The sequence below is a fragment of the Homo sapiens genome, chromosome 6 (genome assembly GCF_000001405.40).
Source record: "Homo sapiens chromosome 6, GRCh38.p14 Primary Assembly".
Taxonomy (NCBI): Eukaryota; Metazoa; Chordata; class Mammalia; order Primates; family Hominidae; genus Homo; species Homo sapiens.
Window position 1 is genome coordinate 57,763,943 of NC_000006.12, and position 21,789 is coordinate 57,785,731.

Consider the following 21,789-nt stretch of genomic DNA (forward strand, 5'->3'; position numbering starts at 1 on the left):
TTTTTAACATTTAATTATATAGAATATTAAATATGTGATAAATCTCTATGTTCACATTTTGTGTTTATTTAAATATCAATTAATTGCTAATCTTATTTGCTCTATACCCTCATTCTAATCCCACACACTGTATAATCAGTAATATTACTCAGTAAATCCTAGACATAATATAAATTCATCCATACACATTTCACTGTGTATTTCTATAAGATATGAACGATAATTTTTAGAAAACCATATATCTATAATCTCACATATAAATAAGCAATATTTCCTTAGTATAATAAAATATCTGATGAGTTTTAAAAGTCCAATTCACTTATAAATCTCATACATTTGTAATAGAGCTTTTCAAACATTTTAATTAGTGACAAGGTAAGCTCTATACTTTGCAACTTAAATCATTTATTCATTTTTTCCCATCCCAGACACTGCAGGCGCTGGTCGCTGGTACAACCCTGCTGGGTCTACTAATTAAATTATTTTGAATTGCAAAGACAATGTTTGGAACAAATAAAAGAACCAAGAAGACAACAAGACAATAATGCATAAGTGAAATCATAGAAAAGCAACAGATAATATAAACAGAAATGTATATTTCCACGTATTGAAGTTATTGAACAAATTATAAAAATGATTTTATTTAGTATTTACAAGGAGATAGAAAACATGACTCACAATTTTAGCAGAGAACTCAAGAAAAATTGGAAAGCCAAATTTTAAATCGTTAATTAAAAAATACAGTAACAAGTCCATGGATAAATTTAAGAGCAATATAAATTATTAAGAAAAAAGTAAACTACAAAATAGATGAGACAACAATGTTAAGAAAAGAACAAGAGACACAGTAAAGGAAAATGGAGAAATGAGTTAGGGACACTAAGAATACACTGTAAAAGCTTAATGCAATTATCAATGAATTTTTTAAATCAATGAAGATTGCAAGGTGCATGGCTGGCTCGGGCCTGTAATCCCAGCACTTAGGGAGGCCAAGGTTGGAAGATCGCTTGCATCCAAGAGTTCAAGACCAGCCTGGGCAACATAGTGAGACCCTGTCTCTACAAAAAATTAGCGGGGCCTGGTAGGTAGTGCATGCCTGTAGTCTGGGAGGCTGAGGTGGGAGGATCACTTGAACCCGAGAAGGAATGGTTGCAGTAAGCCCAGACAGCACCACTGCATTCCAGCCTAGGAGACAAAGCAAGACGCCGTCTCAGAAGTAAAAAAAAAAAAAAAAAAAAGAAGAAGAAGATGAAGAGTGATGATGGGGCTTAAAAGGCTGACTATTGAGGAGTTGAAACCCAAGAACTGTCTAAAGGATGATGAGACAACATATCAATTCATAGATCTAAAATGTCCTGGCCAGGCTCGGCGGCTTCCGCCTGTAATCCCAGCACTTTGGGAGGCCAAGGCGGGCGGATCACCAGGTCAGGACATACAGACCAACCTGGCTAACACGGTGAAACCCCGTCTCTACTAAAAATACCAAAAAAAATTAGCCGGGGGTGGTCCTGTAATCCCAGCTACTCGAGGGGCTGAGTCAGGAGAATGGCTTGAACCCGGGAGGCAGAGGTTGCAGTGAAGAGCCACTGCACTTCAGCCTGGGGGACAGAGCAAGACTCCGTCTCAAAAAAAAAAAAAACAAAAAAAAACAAAAAAAAAAAAAACAAAAGGTACTATCACCATAAAGAAAGATAAAAAGAAAATTTCTTCAAAGCTATCAGAATAAAACTGCCAAGAACATAAGGTACAGCAACCAGAGCAAAAACAAAGCCTTAAAAGCGGAAACACACGTTTTCATATTAACATCAAGATAATACATGTTTTCATATTAGCATCAGTAAATACGAAGAAATTAGAATGATATATTTAAAGAGTTGAAGAAGACTAATGGACAACTTAGACTTTTATAACGAGCAATAATTTATTTCACTTTTGAAAATTAAATACAGACATTTTCAGGCATACACATATTGGTTTCATCACCAGCAGAGCTGCCCATCATGAAAAGGTTCTCATGATAAAGTTAGAGATGCAGGAAAGAGTGTGACAAATCAATAGTGCATTTAATGTTGAGATTATAAGATTTAAGAGCAAAAGCATGTAAGTAAGGCAGAAGTTAAGTACAGCTTAAATATATGTTCTCTGAGAAAAAGTTAATACATCAAGAAATAGTAGACTTTCAAATAAATTTGGTACATTCTGCAATCTCTAGGTTAGCTAAATAACTAATGAATTAAAAAATAAAATAATGAAATAATTACTTAAGGATAACAATAATTACATGCTTTATCAATCTAAAGTTTTTAATAAAAGAAAGCATATTATAGAATATGTGATGCAAAATTAGACATATAAATAAGATGGATAATTTAAAACCCAATATATTAGTAGAAGTCTGAATGGAAAAAGAAAAAAATAATAAAATTAAGATACAGAGGTTGTGGAATGGATAAGAGTAACAAACATAACTGTGTTATATTTACAGAAAATATATCTAAAACATAACAATATAGGAAAGTTAAAAATATAATAATAAATGATATCCTATGCAAATATTAAACAGCTAAAGCTTTCCTTAAACCAAATAGTTTTAGAAAAAGAAGACTTTAAATGAAAAAAAAAGAATACTACACATAGAGCTTATTCAGGGGATCAATGCCAAATTTAAACGCACATGCAATATAGGTTTGAAATAAACATTTACCTAATAAGGATAAATAATCAGTTGATAATGAAAGTAAAAGATCCCAATAAAATTTTCATAGCATATGATAGAATATGCAGACAACAAATCAGAAATTATCTAAAACACTTGAACCGTAAAATTGTTCTGAGAGGCACATAACGGCATTAAAACACAATACCCAAATAATGGCACATTTATTTCCAGGCGCTCATTTATTTCCAGATATCATATGTGTGATATCTAGGTAACGTCATGTTAAGGGAAAATTTGTACTGTAATTTTATTTGTTGGAAAATACCAGGCCGTGTGCGATGGCTCACGCCTGTAATCCCAGCACTTTAGGAGGCTGAGGCGGGAGGATCAGGAGGTCAAGAGGTTGAGACCATCCTGCCCAACTTGGTGAAACCCCGTCTCTACTAAAAATACAAAAATTAGTCGGGCGTGGTGGCAGGCACCCGTAATCCCAGCTACTCAGGAGGCTGAGGCAGAATAATCTCTGGAACCTGGGAGGCGAGGTTGCAGTGAGCCAAGATCGCACCACTGCACTCCAGACTAGTGAAAGACCAAGACTCCATTTCAACAACCACCACAACAACAAAAATACCAAAGCCTGAAAAAGCAATGATCAAAGTATACATGCCAAAGAGATGAGAAAAATAAATAAATAAATCTGAAGACAGCATAAAGGCAGAAATAATGGTCACAGGGTAGAGATTTACGAAATAAAAAACCTGTACATTTGAAAAGTTTGACTCTTTACAAAAGTGTATATTGGATAAAGCCCTGGGAAGAGTGCTCATGATTTTAGAAGACTGGAGTCTTGACTCAAAGCCCTTTTCAGCATTAAAATGACACATGATCAGCCTGAAATGTACGTGATGCTGAAAATAATGTATTTAGCAGAGAAAAAACAGGAGTTTAGATAATAAGGATGAAAGAAAGAAGGCATTGGATGAGCAACTATTACTGCAGAATACTGAGCTTGCTTATGAAATTCAAAATCATTATGATGAAAACAAAAATTCAGAAACAAATTGAATGTGATAATGATGTCTAAAAAATACAGCAGATATGATAATGGTAAAATGTTGAAGTCCTTTTATTTTGTAATCTGGCAAAAGACAAGAAAGTCTATTTACAAAGAATTAATTAAACATTGTACTGGATGTCCTTGCCAGTGCAATAAAGCAAAATATAAAAATAAGAGATATAAAGATTGGAAAGAGAGAAATGAAATAATTTTCACAGTATATGGAAATCTAAAATAATTTATCACTTATTCTTCTAATTAGGTTATCATTAGAATTATTATAACTAATGGTGAATTAACAATGGTATGAAATATATGACCCATATTCAGAAAATTATAGCATTTCTGTATATTAGAAGTAATACTCAGAAAATAAATATATACAATATTATTCATATATACCATTTAAATGGAACCCAAAAATATAAAATCCCAAGTAATAATTCTAGCAAAAGTTATGAAGAATTTTACAAAGAGAACTTTAACATAGAGACAGTATAATTGAGAGAAATTTAAAATGAGTTTAAAAATGAAGGAGTTTGGAGTATTCATGAACTGAAACATTGAATATTGTAAACATTTTTATGAATTCAATTAAATACTGATCATAAAACAAGCAGGGTGTTTGCTTGTTTGCTTTGTTTTTTGGAAATGACAACGTGATTCCACAATTTATATGGAAAGGCAAAACTGCAAATAGGGCAATATTGAAAAAGAAAAACATGAGTCGATTTGCATTTTTTAATATTAATCCTACTCATAAAGATGGAGAATGTAGTACTAGAAAAGAAGAGAGTATTCAGATTGAAAACCCAGGAACAGACTCATGTATATAAGGCTATTTGATATATAACAAATATTGCACAGCACAGCTGAAATGGCGTCATTTCCAATAAACTATGTGTCCCATTTTGGTAGCCACATAGTGAAAAATAATTCCTTATTCTCTACATGTTTCAGGTCCACATAGTGAAAAAATAATAATTCTCTACTCTCCATATGTTTCACGTATAAAATCAGTGCTAGTGGGTTGTATAGATGAATATAATTATTCAATAAATATTCTAGAAATTTATGTTGTAGAATATCTTCAAGAAATATACACATATTGCATTGTTACATTTGGGGCAGGATAATTCTTTGTCATAGTTGGGCAGTCCAAGTATTGTAGCATGTTTAGCAGCACCCATGGCCTCTACCCACATGATGCCACTAGCATTTCACCAGTTAAAACAACCAAAACTGTCACGAGTCATTGAGAAATATTCCCTAGGTGACAAAACAAAACCCATTTAAGAACCATTGAATTAAACTACATTAAAATTGTCATTAATGTTTATTAGATATTGTAAGGTAAGTGAAATGACAATTCATAGAGGGGCTCTTCTCAATGTATGTAAGTGATAAAGGCTTTTATCCAAAATGTATTTTAAAACAGATATCAAAGACACAGTAATATAAAAGGACTTGAAACTTTATAGAAGAGGAAATCAAAATGTAAAATGAAAATCAGAATAGCCATTATTAAAATGCAAAAAAGAACTTCAATGTTTTTGAATTTGACAAAATGTTTTGAATTTGACAAAAAATCAAAATATTTTAAATTAGACTGCCCATGTCAAATATTGCCAAAAACATGTAGCTGTTGGTGAGAATCTTGTTAGTGAACTATTTGCTATTGCCCAATAAAACTAATAATATGTTCTGTATGATTCTACTTATAAGAAGTTCAAAAAATCAGGCAATACTGAAATGTCATGCTTGGGGAAGCACGTGAGGTATAGGTATAAAAATCAAGAAATAGATTACTGTAAAAATCATACCAGTAGTTAACTTTGTGAAGGTAAGAGGTAGTGAATGGGCAAAAGTATTTGCCAGAGCCCTGTGTGCTAGCAAATTCTAGCTTCTGACCTGTATACCAGTTACACAGGTTTTTCTGATATATGGTTGAGCTACGCAGTTTTTCTTAAATATTTGTGTTTATATATCTTCAAAATATAAAAGGATAAAAAATGAAATATTTCTTCAACTCTGGTTCCACTCCCCAAAGGTAACCACTGTCACCAAATTCTGAATTATTTTTCAGAATTTTTTGCACACATGTGCCTACATACATATTTATATACCTTGAAAACAGCATGCATAGTATCTTGCATTTTTATCACATAATGTACCCTAGTGATGATTCTATATTGGAACATACATTATTAATTTTTCCAAAACAAGTGTGTATAAGTGCAGTGCATTTCTAAAAGAAGTATGTATAAGTGCAGTAAATTTTCAAAAGAAGTATGTATAGTGTAATGCTTAAAATAATATACTGTAATAGTCTGCAGCTTGGCAAGAAATTAAGCTTTCATTTATTTTTGTCACAACAGGTATACTACATGCAGATTAAAATATATATTATATATATATATATATATATATATATATACATACCATTTATCTTTTAAGGGCATTGTTCATAACCTTGAAATATAAACAATAAAAATTATGAAGCAATAATTTATTTTTTTAAAAAAATCCACTTGCCAAACAAACAAGATACTCCTTCCAGGATGTCAGTAATATCAAGATAAAATGCCAGAGAATTTTAGCTGAGTATAGTAAATCAAACAGCTAATTTTTAACTTTGATGGAGGAGAAAATTAGATAAATTCTGAAAATTCATCCATTTATTTTTCTCTCTATATATATGTTAACAGCAAGCAAACACATTAAATCCTTAAATTTGGTTGCTAAGTTCACAAATGTCATGGACACAGTGAGGTAATATTTACAGACTGAATACTGATTTACTATCCTTTGAGTTTATTTGTACATTTCATAGAGTAGATGCTCTTTATAGATATACTCTTTTGGAAAAAGTCCAGATAACTGGATAATTAACTATTAATATCACTTTTTGAAAATTAAATATTAATATGTTTCTTCCAGGAAAAATTATTTAACAGGTTTTATTCAGACTACTAAGACATACAAAAACCTGACATTAACTCTTTGGTTTTCTAAAGATTCTCTTCAGGAAAATGTGCCATCAGTCTTTCTAAATGTATTCAATTTTATCTCAGCAGTCTTGAACCTCAATCTACATGATGTTAATATACCTCCAAACAGCCATTCACATTTCTTAAGGTGATGAAATATGTATTACCTATAATATTCTTAACTAAGTTATTGTAAGGCATATTTATCATGCCACATAATCCTGGGGGAAAATTGGGTATAATAACAATTCCCAAAAATGCCTCTTGACAAAGAGTTGGAATTCAACTTTTTTCTTCTACTGCTAAGGATGTTTGCATCGTGTCTTTGGAAAAATGTATCTCATAATTGCAAAGCCCTAATTCCTGATGCTCCATTAACAATATTACTCAAGATATTGTTGCTGATGTGGCTGCTTATATTATTCCCAAGTGAATTTGTAGATATTTAGCAATAGCTGAGGCCATCTACAATGTAAATTCCTATCTATGTTACTCCTCTTGAGAATCTACTCTTGGTACATTTATCAAAGGAAGACACTTTTAGCAACACAGCAGTCCCCCCTTACCAGCGGTTTCACTTTCCCCAGTTTTAGCTATCAGGGGTCAATCATGTTTTGAAAAATATTAAATAAAAGTTATAGAAATAATAACTTTGAAATTGTGTACCATAACGTGATAAATTCTCAGGTTGTCCGTCCTACTCCCTGTTTTCTTTATCACAAAAAGAAAAGTAGATAATAATAAGGTATTTCAAGAGAAAGAGAGACCACATTCACATAACTTTTACTACAGTATATTGTTATAATAATTCTACTAATTATTAATGTTCATATAATTATTAGTAAAAGGAATATAATTATATTCCTATATAATTATAGAAGTACACTACTCCTATAAATAATATATTAGTATAACTAATATAATTCTATTATCATTAGTAGTGTTAGTTTAACTAATAAACTAATAGAATTATTAAACTAATATAATTAGCCTATTAGTTTAATACTACTCCCATAATGAGTATATTAGTTTAAACAAATACTACTACTATAATAATTAGTAGTAGTAGTTTAACTAATAAACTACTATAATTATTAGTTAAATTTCACTATGCCTAGTTTTTAAATTACAGTCTATTATAAGTATGTATGTGTAGGAAAAATAGTACATGTTTACTATCCACTGTTTCAGGCATCAACTGGGGGTCTTAATACATATCTTTTTACAGATAAGGGTGGAGCTACAGTTACCTTCCAAAAGGTAGTATTGCCACTGCCATTGTTGCCTGCTAATGTAAATTCCAAAGAAGTAGATGATTTTGGGAAGGGCAGAAAATAAAAATTTTCATCAATATTAATGATTTTGCCATTAATGCAGATTACCATTGCCATAGTCTGAGAAGTGACATGAAACTTGAGATTGCTAGAGCTCATAGGACAGTAGAACAGTGAAGGCATTGAGGTTTAAAGTGTTAATGTTATGAAGATAGCTAAAAACAGGACTTGATCAGTATAATCCTCTACCTAACACAACTTGGAATGGGGCAGAGAGTAAAGAAATGGACCTCGGTAAGGATGTGCATGAGCACTAAGAGATAGTGCTTGACGCAAGAGCAATAATAACAACAATAACCATAATAAAGGTATATTATTGGGAGCATTAGAGAAGAACAACAGAAAACTAAAAATGGTTGCAGATGTTACCTCCGAGGAAGAAAATGGGACTAGGGACACAGGCCCTTTTTGTTTTTTGCTTGCACATTCTGTAATTAGAAAATGTTATTTTATAGACACACATATCAAATAATAGGAGAAAAAAGATATTTCATGTAAGATTAGTTTATTCTCAATATTCTGAATTAGAATATTGGATTAAAACAATATTTAGAATGATAGAAGCTGGATTAAAACAACTCTAAAACAAGCATTTGTACTGCATTGACATCTCTGTAGAAGTTGCTGTCATACTAGTTGAGAAGAGCTTGGGGACCTGGACTTGGGAGATTTAATGGATAGATAAAATTACACAGAGGGGTAACCTTATGAAGAATTCTGAAACCAAGCATTTGGAAGTCTAAGAAAAGAAGGGACAACAATGCAAGTTGTCCAACCAAAACCTCTCTTCCCTACTTTCTTGTTTCTGAATGCCATTTTTGTTTGAAAGAGCAATGTGTCCTGCCAAATAACTACAATGCCCAGTCTCCTTGCCCTTGTGGCTGGTGACATGTTATAGTCCTGTAGAAAGATACGTAGGCTGAAGTTGTTGAAAAGGACACTTTGTTCTTCAACTTCTCCCTTCCTGCCCTGATATAAAAACATGATAACACACTACTTATTACTCTAAATATGCATAACTTTTATATGCACTAGGAAGTGTATATATCAATACTTAGAGATACAATTTCAGAAATGGTCAAATTAAAGAAAACAAGTTAAAAGTTTACAAGTTCTTATAATAATTATAGAGGCAAGATAAATTACAGATTCAATTTTTTAAACTAGTAATTTAATTAATCACATCATGGATAATGTTTAGAGCTAAAATTTATTCTGTATTTACATAATTAATATTGTAATTAAAAACCACTGAGTATTTTTTGTTGCAACTGAATGTTGTGTCCCCTCAAAATTCATGTGATGAAAACTTAACCTTCAGTATGATGGTAGCAGGACCTATAAGCTGCATATTTATAATGAACTTTGGGGAGTAATTAGCTTATTATGGTGGAGGCTTCATAAATTAGATTGGTGCCCTTAAAAATGACTCTTGAGAGCTCTTTCTGTCCACCATGTGAAGCTGCATTGAGAAGGCAGCAGTCTGAAACCCAAGAGAGCTCTCTCACCAGAACCCAATTATGCTGGCACTCTGCTGTTGGACTTCCAGCCTCCAGAACTGTGAGATGTGCATTCCGTTATTTAAAAGCCACTCAGGTTATGGAACTTTATTAAAGCAGCCTGAACCGCTGAAGATGCAAACTGATCATGAGAAGTGGGAGTGCTGTTGTTATAAATACCTAAAACAAAGTGAAAATGGTTTTGGGCTCAGTGATTGGCAGAGATTGATGAGTTTTTATGCAAAATGCTAGATTACTGTGGAAGAAATTTAAAAGCCAATTCTCGTGAGGGCTCGGAAAGAAATATAGAAGAAAACGCTGTCTTCTCAGAAAATAATTAAATAATCATGAACAGAAGATTGATAAAATATGGACAGTAAAGGTCATTCTGTTGGAGGCTCAAATGGAAATGAATATGTTATTGGAAAATGGAGCAAAAGCAATCCATGTTAAAAAGTGGAAACAAACTTCTCTGAATTGTATTCATGCTCTTGTGTTTTGAGGAAGGTGGAACTTGTGTGCAGTGAAATTGGACATTTAACCCAGCAGATTTCTCAGCAACATGTAGAAGAAGCACCTTGGTTCCTTCTGAATCCGTAGCGTCAAATGTAGAAAAAAAAAATGGTTGGAAGATGGAATTGTTAAGGAAAAAGTAACCATAATTTAAGATCTGGGAAATTCTCAGCCTGCCCATATTGCAAAAAAAGTGAGAAAGTGTGTTCTGAAGAGAACATGAAGAGTGTTTCGGACCCTTACTGATTTGATTAATATGGGTGTGAACCATAGGCTTAATCAAACATCTCAACACAAACCATGAATAGAAATGGGATTATACCAGGAGAAACACTGCCAGTTGGGACTAAAGGAAACAGAGATAATGGGACGAAATAAAGGAAGACATTCAGAATGTTTAAGCCCTACAGGCCCGGACCCGAGAGCTATTCAGTTGTGGATGTGTGCTATTCTCTTCTTCAAAATTACGGAAGAGGGGGCGCAAAGGGGATTTGGAGACAATTACAGCTGCTGCTTTTACCAAAAATCAAGAGGGTATGGCAAGGTGGGCCAAGGTTGCCTCCATTTTGATTTCAAAGGACAGAAATGATGCTCAGAGGAGCTGTGTGGGAGGGCCATCCAGTGAAGCCCTGGGTGAGTGTCCTCAGCCCTGACAAAAGACTGTGCCATAAGTGGGTCCAGTGCATAGAGTCAGCAGCGAGCAGTGCCTCACTGAGCTGTCGGGGACTGTCTGGAAGGTGAGTCATCAAGCCAAAGAGGATGCTTCTTGAACCTTAGGGTTTGATGGAGTTTGCCCTGTTAGGTTTTAGATTTACTTGGGATCCAGCATTCATATATTTTATTTTTTTCGAATAGTGGTTCTTCTTGGAATGGGAATGTTTATCCTATGCCTGTCTCACCATTGTATTTTGAAAGTTCATATTGTTTGATTCCACAGGTTCACAGATGAAGAGAAATTTTGTGAGAATGAACTGTACCGTGAAGCTCACCTACATCTGATTTAGGTAATATTTAAATAAGACCTTGGACTTTAGACTGGACTTGAGGCTGGAATGAGTTAAGATTTGTGGATTTGTTGGAATGGAATGACTGCATTTTGTATGTGAAGACATGAATTTTGGGGAACCTGGGGCAGAATGTTACGGAATGAATTTTTAAAGTGTACCCTCAAAATTTGTATATTGAAATCTTAACTGTCAATGTAATGGTATTAGTATGTGGGACCTTCAGGAGGTAATTAGGTTGTGATAGTAGAGGCCTCATGAATAGGCTTAGTGTTCTTATAAAAGGGACCTAAGAGAGCTCTCACTTCTTTCCCCATGTGCTTATACAAAAACCCAACAGTCTGCAACCGCAAAAGGGCCCTCCCCAAAACCAGAACATCCTGGCACTCTGACTTTGGACTTCCAACCCCTAGAACCGTAAGAAATACTTTTTTTGTTATTTGTAAGCCACTCAATCTATGGTATTTTGTATAGCAGCCCAAACTAAGACACTCCTCTACACTACCGTGTACACCACATTCTTCTGCCTCCAGTCACATTGAACTATATTTTGTTTACTGAACATGACAAATTTATTACTGCACTATGGTTTTGCCATATAATTTTTCCTGTCTTTTCAAACAGAAATTATTTCACAGCATACGCAGCTATAGGCAATTATCTAGCTTATGTATAAAATTACTTTCCTGATATTTGTCTCATTTTTTGTTTTTAAATGTTTTAAATAAACAATTGTTTTGAGGGGTACAGTATGATGTCTTCGTATATATTTATATTGTGGAATGATTAAATCAAGCTGCTTAACACATCTCTTATGTCACATATTTATCTTTTTGTTGTGAGAACACTGAAAATAGACTTTTTAGCAATCTAAAAAAGGCAAACCCTTAAAAGTAGAGAGTAGAATGCTAGTTAATGCTGGAGGCAAGGGATAGGGAATGGGGAGATGTTGTTCACAGGGTACAGTTTCAGTTAGACACAAAGACTGAATTTTAGAGATTGACTTTATAGCAGAGTGACTATATTTAAAAATGACTTATTGTACATTTCAAATTTTCTATTTAAAATACACATAGTATCTGTATTCCCAGTTCTTAAAACATGACCTATTAAACAACAGATTTGCAAGACTGAATGATTTTTTTTACCTTGTCCTGATCTCTAGATTTTTTTTAAACTTTATCTCATTAATTGCTAATTCTCTCTTTATGAATGTTAAATACTTAAAATAGCACCAAACATAACTAAACAAAACAAAAACAAAATTTGTTTTTTATTTCAAATGGCATGTTCCATTGCGTTCTAAGACTGGACTGTCTTGGAGATAAAGAAGACTTCATTATTTTATATAATATTCCTTTGAGAAATCCTGAGCTTTGTGCAAAAATGACATACTTCTTTTTTTTTTGCATAATTTTATCACTCCATAGAGCCCAGATCGAGTTCCTAAGTTCTCACTAAGGCACATGGGTCTAATTCCATTACATTTTTGGCCTGTGTCAATTAATTTTCTTTTCTCAGATAATAAATTTACACTCCTATTCCACTTCTGAGCAGTTAGAGATTTTCAGCATGGAACATTCTATTAAAATGAAATGGCAAATTGCCTTGTAGCACACGCATTTTCAAAGAATGTTTTGTCTGATAATGTAGTTCTTATGAGTTTCTTTCCAAAGTAATCCATTTACACAAAATACATTATTAATTTTGTGCATTTACAAACTACACATAATTTCAAAGTGATGTCATTGTTCCACAAATACATCTAGGTTTCAAAGTGATTGATTAAATTCTGTTTAAAATTTTGCACAGAAGTGCAGTATATAATCACATTTTATATCCCTCTGTGCAGGATATAGTTTTCTAAATCATACTCCATTGTCAGGAGCATGTTCATTTTCCATACAGAACACACTGACTGAAAATAAGGTCAAGTCTACACATTTGGGATATAAATTTTTGAGATTACTGCTCTTGGTATAATATATCTCTCTTGTACTTGAGCCTCTAGATCTTGCTGTTTTTAACACTTTTGTGCTCGCAAGATTTACGCTTCTGTATACTTTGTTTATATTCAGCAGCTAAGTATATTTTGTCCTGTTATCATGATTCAACCTGTGATTTGTTTCAAAAGTACAAGTAAGGTTTTAAACATAATTATAGTGTAATCTCTTTAGATTTTGCTGCATTATCACTCAGAATGAGAAAAATCTAAATTAAAAGTGTGTGCACATGTATACACACTTTTCAATATACAAACTTAGGTATCATGTTAGATTCATCACGATTTGAAAATGAAATTTGATTATAATACTTGCAAGATGACTTACAGGTTAATATTTATATGTACACTTACAATTTTTATAATTTTTAAAACTATCCAATATGTTAGTTTTCTTTGATTTCTAGTGATAACAGTAGAAATATCTGGCCCTGGTTATCATATCTGGTTGTTATGATCAATAGAAACGATATATGCAAAAGCAAATACATTTTAAAACTTTTTAATAGTAACTTTTATTGTTACGTATTCTGAATAATGCAGTTTTACAGTTATTATTATAACATGACACAAATGGTAGAGATTTTGATGCCTACATTTTTAATAAAAATGTTCAAAACCATATTTCACAAAATGTATCATGCTGTAAGGTTGCAACAGCCCTCTCAAATAGAGTTCTGCCTTTCTCTTGCCCTTTAAACTAATGCTATCTGAGACTGCAACAGAAGGCCCTCATTACATGCTGGTATCTTGATCATCGACTTCTTTGCCTACCGAACTATCAGAAAATAATTTTCTATTTTTTACAAATTACCCAGTTTCAGGTATTTTGTTACAGCAGCACAAAACAGACTAAGACATAAAGTGTAAAATTATCCTTCCATATTGCTGCAAGTGAAATGATTTTATTTTTTATAGCTGTGTAGTATTCATTGTGCGTGTATGTGTGTGTGTATATATGTATGTATGTATATCACATCATTTTCTTTATCCAGTTATTTGTTGATGGACACATGTTGATTCAATATCTTTGGTATTATGAATATTGCTGCTATAAATAAATGAGTGCAAATATCTTTTTTGGTATAATGATATTTTTTCTTTTGGGTATACACCCAGTATAGGATTGATAGAGTGAATTGTGGCTCTTTAATACTTGAAAAAATTTTCATACTGTTTTAATAGAGGTGGGACAAATTTACATTCCTTCTAATTATACTATAAGGCTATAGTAATAAAAACAATATGATACTGATATAAAAATGGACACAATACTCAATAGAGCAAAATAGAAATTCCAGGAATAAAGTGACAAAGGCACTTGTCACTTTATTAGTGGATATTTATAAAGGGACCTACCTACAGTCAATGGATATTTGACAACATTGAAAAAAACATACACTGGGAAAAGGACATTCCCTTCAATAAATAGTGCAGGGAAAATTGGAAAGCCACATGCAGAGGAATAAAACTGGGCCCCTATCTGTTGCCATCCACAAAATTAACTCAGGATGAATTAAAGAATTAAATATAATACCTGAAGATATAAAAGTACTCATAGAATACCTGGAAAAACTCTTCTAGACATTGGCCTTGGCAAAAAATTTGTGACTAAGACCTCAAAAGCAAATTTAGCAAAAAACAAAAGTAGACAAATGGGACTTAATTAAACAAAAAAGTTTCTGCACAGCAAAAGAAATAACTGAGAAAACAGATAACCTGAAGAATGTGAGAAAATATTTGCAAACTATGCATCCAACTAAGTACTAATATCCAGAATCGACAAGAAATTCAAACAACTCAACAACAACAACAAAATAGATAACCCCATTAAAAAATGGACAAAGTACATAAACAGACATTTCTCAAAAGAAGACATACAAGTGGACAGCAAACATATGAAATAATGCTCAGTCTCATCATCAGAGAAATAAAAATTAAAACCACAATGAAATGCCACCTTATACTAGTCAGAATGGCTATTTTTTAAAAGTCACAACACATCAGGTATTGATGAGAATGTAGAGAGAAGTGAGTGAATCCTTATATAGTATAGGCGACATTTTTATTTATGGAATATCAAAATAGATAGTTACTTAAAATTCATTTGAATTATAAAATATTAAAATGTAGATTTATGAATACTTTGTACTTTCTAAAAGTTTAACCACAATAAAAATCCAAACTACCACTGTTGTGTCCATAATAATTCATAATTGTATGTGATGATGTTGAGAAATCTTCCTAAATATTAGGATTCAAGTCCCTCATTTATTTTAATGAAAATATCATTCTTAAAAGCATTTCAAGGAATATAGCTCAATAATTCAACAAATAACATTTGCAAATTGATAATCCATGGTTCAAAGATGTCAAGATGAACTCAAAGTCTACAGGGATACCCTTTTGATTCAAGGAAATAATGTTACCCTAAATGAGAGAAGATAGGGAAGACCATGTCAAATGAATCACTTTTTGATGTGGTTTGGCTGTGTCCCCACCCAGATCTCATTTTGAATTTTAGTTCTCATAATCCCCATGTGTCATGGGAGGGACCTGGTGGGAGGTAATTGAATCATGAGGGCGGTTACCCTCCGTGCTGTTCTTGTGATAGTGAGTGAGTCTCACAAGATCTGATGGTTTTATAAGGGGATTCCACATTTGCTCGGCTCTCATTCTTCTCCTTCCTGCTGCCATGTGAAGAAGGACTTGATTGCTTCCCCTTCCACCATGATTGTAAGTTTCCTGAATGTTCCCCAGCCATATGGAACTGTTAGTCCATTAAAGTTCTTTTCCTTATAAATTACCCAGTCTCGGGTAGTTCTTCATAGCAGCATGAGAACAGACTAATACACACTTCAATATTGATTTACATTTCTATGATCATCAGTGATCTTGAGTATTTTTTAATGTTTGTTGGCAACTTGCATGTCTTCTTTTGATAAATGTCTGTTTATGTCATTTGCCTACTTTGTAATGACATAATGTGTTTATTTATTTATTTATTTATTGAGTTCCATGTAGATTCTGGATATTAGTACTTCGTTAGATGCATAATTTGTGAATATTTTCTCCTGTTCTGTAGGTTGCCTGTTTACTCTGTTGATTATTTCCTTTGCTGTGCAGAAGATTTTTAGTTTACTTAGGTCCCATTTGCCTATTATTATTTTTGTTTCATTTGCTTCTGATGACTTAGTCATAAATTCTTTGTCAAGGCTGAGATTCAGTAAAGTTTTCCTAGGTTTTCTTCTAGGAATTTTATAGGTTTTTACATTTGAGTATTTAATCAATCTTGAGTTAATTTTTATACATGGTGAGATACAGGAATCCAGTTTTATTCTTGTGTATATGGATATCCAATTTTTCTAGTACAATTTATTGAAAAAGGTATCCTTTCCACATTGTTTATTTGTGCATGCTTTGTTGAAGATTAGTTGGTTGTAGGTATGTGGCTTTATTTCTTGGTTCTCTATTTAATTTTATTAAACTATGTATCTGTTTTTGTATTGGTACCATGCTGTTCTTGTTATTATAGGTTTGTAGTATAATTTGAAATGGGGTGAAGTGCTGACTCCAGCTTTGTTCTTTTTGCTTAGAATTGCTTTGGCTATCCGGGCCATTTTTTCAATTCAGGATTTCATATAAACTTTGGGATTGTTGTTGTCTAATTCTGTGAAAAATGACATTGGTAGTTTGATAGAAATTGCATTGAATCTTTAGATTGCTTTGGACACCATGGTCATTTTTAATTTTTTTTAATCCATGAACATGGGATATTTTTCCATTAGTTTGTTTTATTTCAGGTTTCTTCCATCCATCTTTTGTAGTTCTTATTGTAGAAATATTTTACCTGCTTGGTTAAACGTATTTCTCAGTTATATGTGTGTGTGTGTGTGTGTGTGTGTGTGTGTGTGTGGCTATTGTAAATGAGATTGAGTTCTTGATTTTGTTCTCAGCTTGAATATTATTGCTATAAATACTACTGACTATTGGACATTGACTTTGTATTCTGAAACTTTATTGCAGTCATTTGTCAAGTCTAGGAGTCTTTTGGAGTCTTTAGGGTTTTCTTTGTATAAGACCATGCCATCTCTTAATGTAACTTCTATCCCAACTTTTGTGGTAATTTTTTTCTTGCATTTTTTATAATTTTATTTTCTAATTTGTTTATCCAGAAATACCATTTAGTTCTGTGTGGTATTAGACTTGAAAACAGTGCAAATTTTCTTTCTTAACATTTCATTTTTGGGCCGGGCGCGGTGGCTCACGCCTGTAATCCCAGCACTTTGGGAGGCCGAGGCGGGCGGATCGCGAGGTCAGGAGATCGAGACCATCCTGGCTAACACAGTGAAACCCTGTCTCTACTAAAAATACAAAAAATTAGCCGGGCGTGGTAGCGGGCGCCTGTAGTCCCAGCTACTCGGGAGGCTGAGGCAGGAGAATGGCGTGAACCCGGGAGGCGGAGCTTGCAGTGAGCCGAGATCGCGCCACTGCACTCCAGCCTGGGCGACAGAGCGAGACTCCGTCTCAAAAAAAAAAAAAAAAAAAAAAAAAAAAAAAATTTCATTTTTGAAATTCATCCATGTTTTTGCATAGTTCAATCATTTTTGTTGATGTATTGAGTAGTCTTAAGTTACCAATTTCATTTTTAATAGTTATGCTTTTTCCAAAAATTTTATAATAATTAGTAGTTTTATCATGACTATTCCTATATACATATTCATATAAATGCATAACAAAGAGTGCAATTGCTCATTTGGAGGGCATGCCATCTTTAGCACTATGACTATTAAATAAATTGTTTGCATTGTTTAAGAGAGTGATATTCCACATCATCACCAGGACTGTGGATTGTCAGACATTTTAAGTAACTGTGGCTCCCCATACAGGATAACTTGGTTAAACTTGCTATTCACTTGGCATCCCTAGCATTATATTATTGTCATCATAAGAATGGAACCCAAAGTTCTAGAGTTTTTAATCAATTATCAAACAACAACTAATTGAATACCATGTAAGTTCCTAACCTTGTGCTAGCCGTTGTCCTACATTTGTGATAAGAATAGATAAAGTGCCCTTCTACCTAGCAGTTTAGACAATAAACAATGAGAAAAGAAATTAAATGTGTATTGTATGATAGCAGGTTAGTGATAATCACTGATAATCCAATGAGTTTATATGATACCAAAATATTGATTAGATCAGGAAATCACTGCTAAAGAGGAAACATTATTTATCAGTGTGTTTATAACAGATGGAGCAATGAGTATAAAAGTCATGTGTTAGGGTATGCAAGATGATGATATAGAGCAGAGTAATCAAGGCAAAGGATAATGGTAGGTGGAGAAGCCAGCTTATAGTTCTGAGCAAGATTATATCTTTAGCTTTTATTAGGCAAGTAAATGAAATTCTTTTGAGATTTTCAGCTGGAAAAATGAAACTAATGTGAAATGCATTATATTGCCAGAGGTGACTTCCATTGCCTGGTGGGGAAGAGACTGGAGGAAGGATGGATAATGGCAGCACACAGATGCTGCTGAGAAGCTATTTTAGTAGTTCATGTAGGAGACCATTGTCAAATTTGCAATAAACTTCCAGGTGAAATGGAATTGACTTTCTAATGGCTTGGAATGGTGTATATAAAACAGCTGGTAATGACTCCATATTTTGAAGCTTTAGAAAATAGATTAATAATGGCTCAAATTACTGAGTGAAAAATTACTGGGAAAGAAGCAGGATTGGCAGGATGCAGATAAAGAATTCTGTTTTACTTACTAAGGTTGAGATGCCTATTTGATATTCAAGGCAGTTGCAAATGAGATGAGTGTTCAGGAATGAGATGTCAGCTAAAGATATAAATTTTAGTCTGTGCCCATATCTTAGCTGCAAGGAAGGATTTTATGAACTGCTGGTGAGACTGTAAATCAGTGCAATCAACGTAGACAAATAAATAAATGCATACACCATGTCATCTTGTAATAACTCCCAACCCCCAACACCTAAAGAAGAGACTGTGTGTTTAAGTTGGGAGTGTATTGTGGAGTAAGAATAAGAAACAGGATGGGTGCTATAGGGAGAGAGAGTAAAATCTAGAACACATTATTAAGTTAGGCGATGGAATACTATATGACCATTCACTGAAGTGAAACAACGGGGGAAATATGTATCCATCAGCTCTAGGAGTTCCATTTTTCAAGCATAGCCTCATGGATGCTAACTTCTCAATGTGTCTAGACAGTGCATTTATGAGTACCAAGCAAAATGCCTACAACAATCCACACAGCATTGTCTGAGAAATCCCACAGCAGAAAGTGAATTCTTGCTCTAGTCTGAAGCCACATACTATCACTTCCATCTTTATGAAACTGACCAAAGTCTACATAAAAATAGTAACCAAGGCTCTGACTGGAACAAGAGGTAATGCTGAGAGGGTCTGCAGTGATGTAAGATCCAATACACCCTATGATTTTTAAATTTTGTTCCTGGGTTTATATCCTAGAGAAACTCTGACATATATATGTGTATATATATATACATTTATATATATACACATTTACATATATATACACACACATACACACACATTCATAGCAGCTTTTTGTTGAAATAGCAAAAAATGAGAAAAAAACTAAATGGCAATATAATGAACAAAAGGGAGCTGTGTTTTGATATTTTTATATAGTACAATGCTAAACAGCATTTAAAATAATTGATAAGAATGATATGCGCCAACATAGATGGACATCATCAATGTCATATAAAACAAAATAAAGCAGAAGGTAGATAGACACTTTTTTTTTGAGTCGGAGTTTTTGCTCTGTTGTCCAGGCTGGAGTGCAGTGGCGTGATCTTGGCTCACTGCAACCTCCGCCTCCCGGGTTCAAGCAATTCTCTTGCCTCAGCCTCCTGAGTAGCTCGGATTACAGGCGCCCTCCACCACGCCTGGCTAACTTTTGTATTTTTAGTAGAGACAGGGTTTCACCATGTTGGCCAGGCTGGTCTCGAACGCCTGACCTCAGGTGATCCACCTGCTTAGGCCTCCCAAAGTGCTGGGATTACAGGCATGAACCACCGCGCCCTGATGGTAGACACGTTTTTAACTTCTAAAAATATATGATCATGATTAAATTGTGTCTGTGGAGACTTGCACATATACTAAATTCTAAACAATTAGAGATATTTGTTCATTACCACATTTTAGGAGTCATTATTTCCTCTATGAAGAGAGAAAGGAATTTGATACAAGTTCACAGGGGCTTCCAATAGATTGAGACTTTCATTTCTAGCTGAGCTGCTGATATATGAATTTTTTTTGTTATTATGACTTTCATATGTATTAAAAATAAAATGAAAAAACAAGGATTATGTGAGGAACCTATACGTCTCTAATATGCAGAATACCACAGAAATAATGACTGTTGGGAAATTAGGCCTTAGCTCTGATGTTTGAACCATCCCCTCAATGTTTCCCAGTGGTTCTTAGAGTATTTTGATCACCTCTGTGTTGGTGCTTTAGAACTAGAGAAGCCCGTTTTGTTAACTTTTTTTTTTTTTTTGAGACAGAGTTTCACTCTTATTGCCCAGGCTGGAGTGCAGTGGCACAATCTCGGCTCACTGCAACCTCTGCCTTCTGGATTCAAGCGATTCTCCTGCCTTGGCCTCCAGAGGAGCTGGGATTACATGCCACCACATCTAGCTAATTTTTTGTATTTAGTTGGTCGGGCTGGTCTTGAACTCCTGACCTCAGGTGATCCACCCGTCTCAGCCTCCCAAAGTGCTGGGATTATGTGTGTGAAACACTGCACCTGGCCTTTTGTTAACTTTTAGTTTAAGTTCAGGAGTACACGTGCAGGTTTGTTATACAGGTAAACTCGTGTCATGGGGATTTGTTGTACAGGTTATGTTGTCACCCAGGTATTAAGCTTAGTACCCATTAGTTACTTTTCCTGAACCTCTCCCTTTTCCCACCCGCTACTCTCAGGTAGGTCCGAGTGTGTGGTGTTCTCTTCTATGAGTCCATGTGTTCTTATCATTTGGCTCACATTTATAAATAAGAACATGCTGCATTTGTTTTTCTGTTCCTGCATTAGTGGGAGCTGAGGATGGGTGGAGCTGAGGATAATGGTCTCCAGCTCCACCCATGTTCCTGCAAAGGACATGATCTTGTTCTTTTGTATGGATGAATACTATAAAGTCTTCCAAACTGTTTTGGTTTTGGTTTGTTTTCTTTCTTGAGAAAGGAAAGACAAAATAGAAATAAAAGAGTAGGCCGAGCGGGGTGGCTCACGCCTGTAATCCCAGCACTTTAGGAGGCTGAGGCAGATGGATCACTAGGGGTCAGGAGTTTGAGACCAGCCTGAACAATATGGTGAAATCCCGTCTCCACTAAAAATACAAAAAATCAGTCAGGCATGGTGGCACATGCCTGTAGTTCCAGCTACTAGGGAGGCTGAGGCAGGAGAATCGCTTGAATCTGGGAGGCAATGGGTTGCTGGGTGTGCCGGGATGGCACCACAGCCTGGGTGAAAGAGTGAGACTCCGTCTCAAAAAATAATAATAATAAAATAAAAAAGGGAGAGAGAAAGAGTACCAATGTATGGCAGAAATCAAGAGAAGAGTTTGCTTTTTTGAATAACTACACCCTGGACATTAGTTTCAAGAAACCGTCTGCTGGAAATATAACTATATGTTTAAGTTGATGGATCATTATTACACGTAGCATGAAGAAAGT